Here is an 11,098-nt window from a genome sequence, read left to right as displayed (position 1 = left end):
CTGGGGAACACAGGCTCAAGAGGTCCTGAGAAAGTGTGCCTGAGACAGTAGAATTACAGTTTGGTTTTGTACATTTTAGGTGGACAGGAGTTACAGACAAAGACATAAATCAGTACATGGAAGGTACAGATTGTGTTCAGCTGGGTGCAGTGGCTCACGCCTGTAATCCCAGCACTTTGGGAGGTCGAGGTGGGCGAATCGCTTGAGGTCAGGAGTTCGAGACCAGCCTGGCTAACATGGTGAAACCGTGTCTCTACAAAAAATACAAAAAATTAGCCAGGGATGGTGGCAGGCACCTGTAGTCCTGGAGCTACTCAGGAGGTTGAGGCACGAGAATTGCTGCGGAGGTTGTAGTGAGCCGAGACCACACCACTGCACTCCAGCCTGGGTGACAGAGCATGACTCTGTCTCAAAAAAAAAAAAAAAATTCTACGGTATTTTTATAATACATTTTGTAGTACCACTTATAACCACTTGGGTGCGTGGGTTGCCCATTAAATCAAACAGTTTACAGTTCACCCTTGAACAACATGGATTTAAACTGTACTGGTCCACTTATACTCAGATTTTCTTCTGCCGCTGTCACTCTGAGACAGCAAGACCAACCCCCCTTCCTCTCCTCAGCCTACTCAATGTGAAAAGGACAAGGATGAAGGCCTTTATGATGATCCACTTCCACTTAATGAATAGTATATTTTATCTTCCTTACGATTTCCTTAATAACAGTTTCTTCTCTCTACTTTACTATTGCAAGAATACAGTATATAATGCATATAACATACAAAATATGTGTTCATCTATGTCATCAGTAAGACTTCAGATCGACAGTAGGCTATTAATAGTTAAGTTTTGGGGGAGTCAAAAGTTATATGTGGATTTTCTACTGCATTGTTTAAGGGTCAACTGTAGATTCAACGACTACCTAGGATTGTAGAGTTGACTGATAGCACTGGGACTGATGATAACATCATAACCTGTAAGAAGTGTCAACAATGGTGATGGACCCCCAGCAACCCTGGAGTGGGGATGTCTAAAGATAGATGTCATCCACCAGGCAGGAGTTGGTGCTGCCAGTGTGTCATGTACTGCAGCCTCTTTTATTTATTTATTTATTTTTATTTATTTTTTGAGACAGCATCTCGCTTTGTCACCCAGGCTGGAATGCAGTGGCACAATCTCGGCTTACTGCAACCTCCACCTCCCGGGTTCAAGCGATTCTTCTGCCTCAGCCTCCCAAATAGCTGGGACTACAGGTGCGCACCACCACGCCAGGCTAATTTTTGTATTTTTAGTAGAGACGGGGTTCCATCATATTGGCCAGGCTGGTCTCAAAGTCCTGACCTCGTGATCCGCCCATGTCGGCCTCCCAAAGTGCTGAGATTACAGGTATGAGCCACAGCGCCTGGCCTGCAGTCCCTTTTACTACAACAAATATGGGAAAGAGTCACAGGTGTGGCATACGGTGGTGGCTTCTGCGTTAGAAACATAGGCCAAGTACAGTGGCTCATGCCTATAAATCTCAGCACTTTGGGAAACTGAGGTGGCCAGACTGCTTGAGCCCAGGAGTTTGAGATCAGCCTGGGCAACATGGCGAAATTCTGTCTCTACAAAAAGTACAAAAGTTACCCGGGTGTGGTGATGTCATAGGTAGTAGATTTATCCTTCAAACATCAACAACTAAAAAATCTGGACAAAATAGGAGACAACAGAGTTCAGACATTGGAAACAAGCATTGTAGCACAGTGGTCCCCAAGAGAAAGGAGACAAATGAAGTGACCTTAGTGGCCCGGCTTATGTCTGGAGAGTTAGTTTCTAGGCTACATAGCCCAGGGGTGTCCCTGAGTTGGGACAAAGTTGAGAATTTGGAGAGGCCAAGGCAGCTAGTTTGTAAGGCAGGGTACCAGAGAGTAGCGCAGCACAGACCTGCAAAGGGTTTCCTGCACGTGTAGCGCACAGCATGCCTGTGAACACACTCCTGGAAACCAAGGGAACTACCAGGAAGGTGCAGGCAGAGCAATCCCCGGAGCCATAGTGGAGACCATCACTGTGCACTGGCTAAACTACTCAAAGATACTGCCTGTCTAGTGAGGCAAAATTAGCCCTAATGGCCGCTCTGGTCTCACCTAAGTAAGCTCAGAAACACTGAAGCAAGCTCTCAGTTCGAAGGAAAATGGAAATCTGGCATATGAAATCAAGATCTCCAGATACAGTAAATATAACTCTTATGACAAAATAGCACAAAGGCCAAGAGACAGGAAAGTGTGTGCTGTTGCTAAGTTGTTCTACTACCTGTGAAGTGGTAGAATATTACATAAAAGTGTGACAAGTCTAAAGATGTACACTAGAAATTTTAAGAGAAACAACAAAAAATGAAAATGGAGGTAGGGTTAATAAGCCAACAAAGGAGATAAAAATGAAATAATACAAAATAAATTAGCCCCGCACAAGTATGGCCATCTGATTTAAACCCTGTCACTCCAGCTGGAGTGCAGTGGCGTGATCACGGCTCACTGCAGCCTCGACTCCCAGGCTTAGACGATACTCCCACCTCAGCCTCCTGGGGAGCTGGGACTACAGGTGCACACCACCATGCCTGGCTAATTTTTTTAGTAGAGATGGGGTCTGGCTGTGTTGCCCAGGCTGGTCTCAAACTCCTGGGCTCAAGCAATCATCCCACTTCAGCTTCTCAAAGTGCAGGGATTACAGGCGTGAGCCAGTGCACCCGGCCTATGGCCATCTGATTTTTGACAGAAGTGCAGAAGTAATTCAATAGAGAAAGGATCGTTTTCAAGTAACAGTCCTGGAGCAATTGGATATCTATTGGCAAAAAAAAAAAAAAAAAAAAAAAAAAAAATCTTGATCTAAACCTTACACTTTGTACAAAAATGAACTCTTAAGTGGAAAATGGATCATAGATTTAAATATAAAGCATAAAACTATAAAACCTTTAGAAAATAACATATGAGAAAATCTTTGGGCTAGGTGAAGAGTTCTTAGACACAACACCAAAAACCTGTCAATTGGGCTTCATCAAAATTTAAATTTGTTTCTCTGCAAAATACCTGTGAAGAGGATGAAAAGACAAACTATGAACTGGGAGAAAATATTTGCAAAGCACTTGTATGACAAAGGCTTTATATCTGGAATATATAATGAAGTCTTGAAATTCAACAGTAAGAAGACAAACAATCCAATTAAAAAATGAACAGCAGACATTTCACTGAAGATACACAGATGGCAAATAAACACATGAAGAGATGTTCAACATTTTCAGCCATTAGAGAAATGCAAATTAAAGCCACAATGAGATATCACTACACATCTATCAGAATGGCTAAAATAAGAAATAGTGGGCTGGTCCAAGTGCAATGGTGTTGCAACAAATTGATCACAACCACTTACAGATTTATTTGTTCTTTTTCCACTCCCACTGCTTCACTTGACTAGCCTTAAAAAAAAAGTGACATCACCAAATGCTGGTTGGTCAGAATGCCAAGAAATGAATCACTTATACATTGCTGGTAGGAATGTAAAATGGCACAGCCACTCTGAAAAGTTTGGCAGTTTATTAAATGAAATATGCAACTACCATATGACCCAGCAATCCCAGTCTTGAACACTTGTCCCAGGGAAATGAAACTTATGTTTACACAATAACCTGTATAGTAGTCCTCCTTATCTACAATTTTGCTTTCCTTTTTTTTTTTTTTTTTTTTTTTTTTTTTTTTGAGACTCTAGTCTTGCTCTGTTGCCCAGGTTGCTGTGCAGTGGCGTGATCTTGGCTCACTGCAACCTCTGCCTCCTGGGTTCAAGTGATTCTCCTGTCTCAGCCTCCTGAGTAGCTGGGATTACAGGCGTGTGCCATCACACCCAGCTAATTTTTGTATTTTTAATAGAGACGGGGTTTCCCCATGATGGCCAGGCTGGTCTCAAACTCCTGACCTCAAGTGATCTGCACACCTCAGCCTGCCAAAGTCCTGGGATTACAGGTGTGCACCACCGCACCCAGCCAGTTTTGCTTTATGCAGTTTCAGTTACCCACAGTCTGAAAATATGTGAGAACAGTACATTTTGAGGCCACATTCATTTAATTACAGTATAATTGTTCTATTTATTGCTGTCAGTTTCTTGCAGTGCTTAATTAAACATCAAAGGTATGTATGTATAGAAAAAATATATAGAGGACATATAGTACATATAGCACATATGGATAGTGTATATACTATCCATGGTTTCAGACACTCACTGGGAGTCTTGGGATATAATCTTCAAAGATAAAGGGGGACTATTATACCTGATTGTTCAGATCAGCTTTATTGTTAATGCCCCCAAACTGGAAACAACCAAAATGTTCAAGGTGAATGGTTAAACTATAAATATATATGCTATGTACATAGTATATTCATACTATGGAGTACTGTGTAGCAATAAAAAGGAATTAACTATTGATACATGCAACTACCTGGATGTATCTCAAGGGAATGGAGTGAAAAGGCCATTCTCAAAGGTTATACTTCGTGATCCTATTTACGTAAGATTCTTGAAATAAGAAAATTATGAAGAACAGATTAGTGGTTTCCAGGGGTTAGAAATGGGGGACAGAGGTAGAGATGGCTATAAAAGGATAGTATGGCAGAGCTCTGTGATGACGGAACAGCTCTGTATCTTGCTTATGTTGCTGTTTTCATCCATCTACACAGGTGATAAAATGAAATAGAACTATATATCACATGCAACACAAATGAGTGCATGTAAAATGGGTGAAATTTGAATAAGCTCTGTGGACTGTTCCAATGCCAATTTCTTAGTGGTGAATCTACAGTTAAAAAGCTAAAAAACATTTTTTTTGGGAATGTTTTTAGTGCTGCTAAAAATAGAAGTGGAGCGATGACAATAGACCTCAGCTGTGGGATCATTCAGTAGCCAGAACCTGGAATAGTGTGTGAAAGTGTGTGGTTGGGATTCTTAACAGCAGGGGGAAACGTCAGTCAGTAGAATCGACTTTTTCCTTCTTCTTCTCAACCAGCTTCCTGAAGCAAAGCCTATCTTTTCTATTAAATTGGTTTTTTCTTATGCCTCCCCGCTTTTTTTTTTTTTTTTTTTTTGAGACAGGGTCTCATTCTGTCGCCCAGGCTGGAGTGTGGTGGCACAATCTTGGCTCACTGCCTGGACCTTCCAGGCTCAGGAGATTCTCCCACCTCAGCCTCCTGAGTAGCTGGAACTACAGGCATGTGCCACCACACCAGGCTAATTTTTTTTGTAGAGCTGGGGTTTCCCCATGTTGCCCAGATTGGACTTGAATTCCTGGGTTCAAGCAATCTGCTGAGCCAAAGTGTTGGGATTATGGGTGTGAGCCACCACACCCAGCCTTTTTTAATTTATAAAATAGAGACAGGGTCCTGCTCTGTCACCCAGGCTGGAGTGCAGTGGCACAATCTTGGCTCACTGCAGCCTCGACCTCTTGGGTTCAAGCAATCCTCCCACCTCAGCCTCCCAAGTAGCTGGGACTACAGGGGTGTGCCACTATGCTTGGCTAATTTTTTTTGTCGTTGTTGCTTTTTTTGTAGAGATGAAGTCTCGCCCAGGCTAGTCTAGAACTCCCAGGCACAAGTGATTGCTCCTGCCTAGGCCTCCTAAAATGTTGGGATTAGTGGCGTGAGCCACTGCGCCCATCCTGCTAAGCCTATCTTGAAATGATAGATTTTTCTGTCTGTTCCTATCTGCCTTATAATTAGTGACAGACCATCTGAACCAAACTCAGGAAAGAATTACCTTAGGAAAGCTTTCATCATCAAAAAACATCTTATAATTGCAGAAGTATATACAAGATGATCTATTATCAACAGTTTATAATGGCCAAAGATAAGTCACCAGAATATTTGCAGAAAAAAGTTATAATGGCCAAAGAATGGAACAACTTAAATACACAGGGGATGGTAAATCCATACAATAAAATACTGTACACAAGAAAGAAAACATAAGTGGCACTCTACACACTGCTATGAAAGCAGATCAATATAAAAGCAGAAAAAAGCCAAGTATGGAAGTGTAGACTAAATATAAAATACTCACCGGAGGCCAGGCACAGTGGCTCACACCTGTAATCCTAGCACTTTCGGAGGCCGAGGTGGGTGGATCACTTGAGGTCAGGGTCTTCAAGACAGGGTCTTCCTATATTACCCAGGCTGTCCTTGAACTCCTGCACTCAAATGATCCTCCCACCTCAGCCTCTCAAATAGCAGGGACTATAGATGCACAGCACCATGCCTGGCTTCCAAAATGGATGAATCTTATTTCACTATGCTAAGTGAAATAAGCCAGTCACAGGACAAATATTGCATGATCCCACTATATGAGATATCTGTAATAGTCAAACTCATAGAAACAGGGTAGAAGGGTGGTTGCTAGGGGCCAGGGAAATGGAGAGTTGTTCAACAGGTATAAAGCTTCAGTTATGCAAGACAAGTAAGGTCTAAAGATCTGTTGTACAACATGGTGCCTGGAATTAACAATACTATATCGTGCACTTAAAGATTTGTTAAGAGGGTAGGTCTTGAGTTAAGTGTTCTTACCACAGAAGACAAAACAAAAACTCAACAGCAACCAAAAAGCAAAAAACAAAGGGGCAGGAGGAAACTTGTGGAGATGACAGGTATGTTTATTACCCTGATTGTGGTGATGGTATCAAAGGTGTGTGCATATAGTCAGACCCATCAAATTGTATTCATTAAATATGTAACAACTGTACTTCTATAAAGCTGGTAAAAAACACTGTACCTGTTTGTTTTTACTTCAACGTGGCTATAAGAAAATATAAAATTACATTACAGCTTGCATTCTATTTGTATAGTACTGTCCTGCTCAAGATGGATTAACAGGTGTGTGACACTCACTGCCTGCTGAGAGCAGGGTGTAGGGAACCTGGGGTTGGAAAGGAGACTTGTCACCGTATGCTCTTCCATTTATCAATATTTCATATTTTGAGAAGACATGAACTTTTTGAACAAAGATAACAGAAAATCATTGTCAATAGTTAATCTACCAGAGAGATTCAGAAACCTTGCATACTTGGTTTTCAGGTCTTGGTTGAGAGTTCTAACACCGTTGAAAAATCTCAAGAGTAACCTGGTAATGATATCTTCATTGAATTAAAATTACATTTTGCTTTAATCTGATAGTCCTCTTAATCCAAAAGGTCAACATCAAGTTAAACAACATCCAGTTTCACTTTGATGTTCATAGCTGCCAGTTCAGCTACAAAATACCGAAAAACATAAGGCACAGAAACAGTATCGATAGTGTCACTGCGACTACACAGAGTACAGTTGTATTTTCTGTTGCGCATGGCAGACCAAGAAGGGGGTGGCTTCTCCAACAGTGGAGAGAGTAAACTGCCACACTTCACACACACATGGGCTACCGACCGATCTGAGCAGTTGAAGAGGCGGTCATGAAGGAGAAAAGATGTACCATGAGCTAAAAGCGCATCCCGTTCCATCTCCCCAAAACGGATTCCACCCTGGACATTTCTTCCCCCAATAGGCTGGTTGGTGACTCTGTCTCGGGCTCCAGTTGTCCTTACTTGAAATTTGTCTGAGACCATATGGCGTAAGCGCTGATAATAAACCACTCCTATGAAGATGTCTGCTTCCAGTTCTAGCCCACTGATGCCACTATATAACCTCTCGGTGCCATAGAAATTGTAGCCAGCAGCCTTTAACATCTCACCAAAGTATTCTAAGGCCGAGTTCTCCTCTGAGAAGATGAAGGGTGTAGCATCATGGCAGAGACCATGCAAAGCTGCAGACTTCCCGGCCATACTCTCAATTAACATCCCAATGGTCATGCGGGATGGAAAACCATGGGGATTGAACAGAATGTCTGGGACCATCCCACTCTCAGTAAAAGGCATGTCCTCAGCCGGCCACAATCTGCTTAAAATGCCCTTCTGCCCATGGCGACTGGCAAATTTATCTCCGATAGTTGGGTTCCGAGGCACTCTCATAGTGATGCAAACACACTTGAATTTTCCACTCCCAGTGTCATTACTGCACACTTTGATGTTATCCACAACACAATTTTCTTTACTCCTAGGAAAAAGTAAACCATATAAGGTCAACCTATTTGTTTTAACTTATGGAGATAAGTTTCATTGATATAATTAGTGCTTCATAAAGGATATTTGTAAAACTTTTTTTTTTTTTTTTTTTTTTATGATACAGGGTCTCACTCTGTTGCCCAGGCTGGAGTGCGGTGGTGCAATTACAGCTCACTGCAGCCTTGACTTTCCGGGTTCAAGCAATCCTCCCACCTCAGCCTCCTGAGTAGCTGGGACTACAGGTATATGCCACTAGGCCTGGCTAGTCTTTAAATTTTTTTTGTAGAGATAGGGCCCCACTACATTGCCCAGACTGATCATGAACTCCTGTGCTTAAGGAATCCTCCTGTTTTGGTCTCCCAAAGTGTTGGGATTGCAGGTGTGAACTACTGTGCCTGGCCTGCAAAACTCATTCTTACCTTTATTCTCCAATACAAACAGAGATGGTATGAATAGAGCTATTGGTGATATTCACTACAGAATTATGTTCATCTGAAAGAAAACTAGCAACAAAAGCAACTGAAAAATTATTATGAAAGCCTATTGAAATAAATTATATTGTAAAATAAGCTAAAATAAGACATTTCTAATAAGAGGTATGAGCTCAACATTTTGGCTAGGAAACATTGCTAACATTGTATGTGAGAAAGATGACAAAGTTTGGATAATACAGTTTTTAAAAAAAGCACAAATAGGCCAGGGATGGTGGCTCAGGCCTGTAATCCTAGCACTTTGGGAGGCTGAAGCAGGTGGATCACTTGAGCCCAGGAGTTCGAGACCTACCTGGGCAACATGGTGAAACCGTCTATACTAAAAATACAAAAAATTAGCTGGGCATGGTGGTCCATGCCTGGAGTCCCAGCTACTCAAAGGCTGAGGCGAGAGGATTGCTTGAGCCCGGGAGGTGGTGGTTGTAGTGAGCTGAGATCACTCCACTGCACTCCAGCCCGGCTGACACACTGAGACCCTGTCTCAAAACAAAAACAAAAACAAAAACAAAACAGCTTGGATACCCAAACTTACTTATAGTACATCACAAAACTTTCCCCGGTGTTGAGGTTGAGGTAGCTGTAATACGGATCTCCGTACTGCAGTTTTGCTCCTATAAACGGCAATCCATCGTCATCTAACTTCTGCAGAACGCGTGGGTCACCAGGTTTGATGCCAAACACCAGGCTACTATCTCCTTGTTTAATTTTTTCAGAGAGGTCTATGAACTCAGACTTGTAGACACTTCCATGGGCAAAGCCTCGTTCCCAAGAGGCCTTATTCACAATCTGTGAAGTAAAAGAATCGTTAAAAGACTGAGGCCAATTGAGGATTTTCAAAATAAAACTAGGTGGGACTATCATACTTGGTTTAGGATAACTGGCATCACATTTTAACTTTCCTCACATTTTCCAAATCACTGATACTAACTACAAAAACCCAGACATGGCTGGGCACGGTGGCTCACGCCTGTAATTCCAGCACTTTGGGAGGCCAAGGCAGGTGGATCACTTGAGGTCAGGAGTTCGAGACCAGCCTGGCCAACATGGTGAAACCCCATCTCTACTAAAAACACGAAAATTAGCCAGGCATGGTGATGGGTGCCTGTAGTCCCAGCTATTCGAGAGGCTGAGGCAGGAGAACTGCTTGAACCCAGAAGGTGGAGGTTGCAGTGAGCCAAGATCGTGCCACTGCACTCCAGCCTGGGCAACAGAGCGAGACTCCGTCTCAAAAATAAAAAACAAAAAACAAACAAACAAAAAACAAGAAAAACAAAAACCCAGGCACACAGAAATAGCTTAAAATCTAATCATACTTAAATATAAAAGGTAGATAGATCCAAAACCAAACTTCAAAATTTACTCATAATATGCACTCAAATATGCAAGACATACGTGTATCTGAATATTTAGTGGATATTCCTCAAGGCTTGCCCACTTTCAACTTAGACTAAGAACTAATCATTTAATAGAACATCACGTGCCAAATACTAGGTACTTGGGTACACAAAAATATTCCTTCAGTGATTTCACAGTAAACAAACAAGTTAAAAAATAAAAAGATTGGAACAACATTTCCTGGTAAAACTTACCATGGCATCTTCCATATCATAGCCAGTGTAAGAAATCACAGCAACGATGGCATTGGTCCCAATTGGATAGTTATCCATGTCATAATAATCATACATGGAGGGTCTCACCAAGGGACTCTGAGGAGTCTGAAGACGATACAGTTTGTTATCCGATCGGTCTTGATAAGTGAGAAGTGGAAAGCCCATAGTTTGCTTACCTACATGGAGAAAAAACATCTTAGCATTTTCTGCTGCTTTCATCTTGATTATAGGTGTGATACGCAACACTGGAAACAACTAAATATCCATCAGAGGAAAATGAACAAATAAATAGTCATGGTAGTTATGCTTACTTTAGACTAATACATAAGCTGTGAAAATGAAGTAAACCTAAATGTATCAACGTGACCAGACCAGGAAAACCATGCTGAGTGGGAGAAAGTGCAGACTGACATTTAATATGATACGATTTATGTGTATTTGCAACACACCCCAAACAATTCTATACTTAGTTTATGGATACATGTATGATGTAATAAAAGCTTTAGAAGGGGACAGAAAGGAAGTACGCAAATTACAGGCTATCACTACTCGGGGAAGAAAAGGGGATAGGAATTATTACGTAATTAGATTACTTTCTTACAGCGGAATATGTATTTAATTCTAAGTAGTGGAGCATGGGGTGAGATTCCTCTGTGTACTACCTCACAGTACAGAGAATCATTTCACGACAAAATGATTTTAAAATATAAATACATACAAGTGAAATTTTTAAAAAAATTATAGACTTAGAGCTTCCAGTAATAAAGGGCTACTCTTACTAGACCACCCTCAACACATAAGTATGAGACGCAGACCCCCAACTACACATACAGCACTGGAGAGTAACCAAAAGCTGTCAGAAGCTGAGAAGAATTTTTACTTGGACAAAAGGAACACAC

The 11,098-nt window shown here is 41.6% G+C and overlaps 1 protein-coding gene across 10 annotated transcripts in view, besides 1 other annotated feature; it reads right to left on the bottom strand.

The window, feature by feature from the left end:
• Positions 351 to 645: a silencer, noted in NCBI's record as "tiled region #15338; K562 Repressive DNase unmatched - State 5:Enh". NCBI's record gives its function as "represses a minimal TATA promoter and a strong SV40 promoter by Sharpr-MPRA in K562 cells {active_cell/tissue: K562}" and the evidence as "EXISTENCE:reporter gene assay evidence [ECO:0000049][PMID:27701403]".
• POLR1B (RNA polymerase I subunit B) overlaps positions 3,119 to 11,098 on the bottom strand; it is a 37,783-nt gene continuing 29,803 nt past the window's right edge. For all 10 annotated transcript variants that reach the window (NM_001282772.2, NM_001371970.1, NM_001282777.2 and 7 more), the window contains 3 exons: positions 10,179 to 10,375; positions 9,122 to 9,375; positions 3,119 to 8,090 (listed from right to left, as the gene is read on the bottom strand). In NM_001282772.2, coding sequence (NP_001269701.1) covers positions 7,208 to 8,090; positions 9,122 to 9,375; positions 10,179 to 10,375 — 1,334 coding nt within the window. In that variant the 3' untranslated portion in view covers positions 3,119 to 7,207. The remainder of the gene's footprint in view (positions 8,091 to 9,121; positions 9,376 to 10,178; positions 10,376 to 11,098) is intronic.

Source organism: Homo sapiens, chromosome 2 (assembly GCF_000001405.40).
Source record: "Homo sapiens chromosome 2, GRCh38.p14 Primary Assembly".
In the NCBI taxonomy this organism is placed as follows: Eukaryota; Metazoa; Chordata; class Mammalia; order Primates; family Hominidae; genus Homo; species Homo sapiens.
This window is presented reverse-complemented; position numbering and strand designations above follow the sequence as displayed.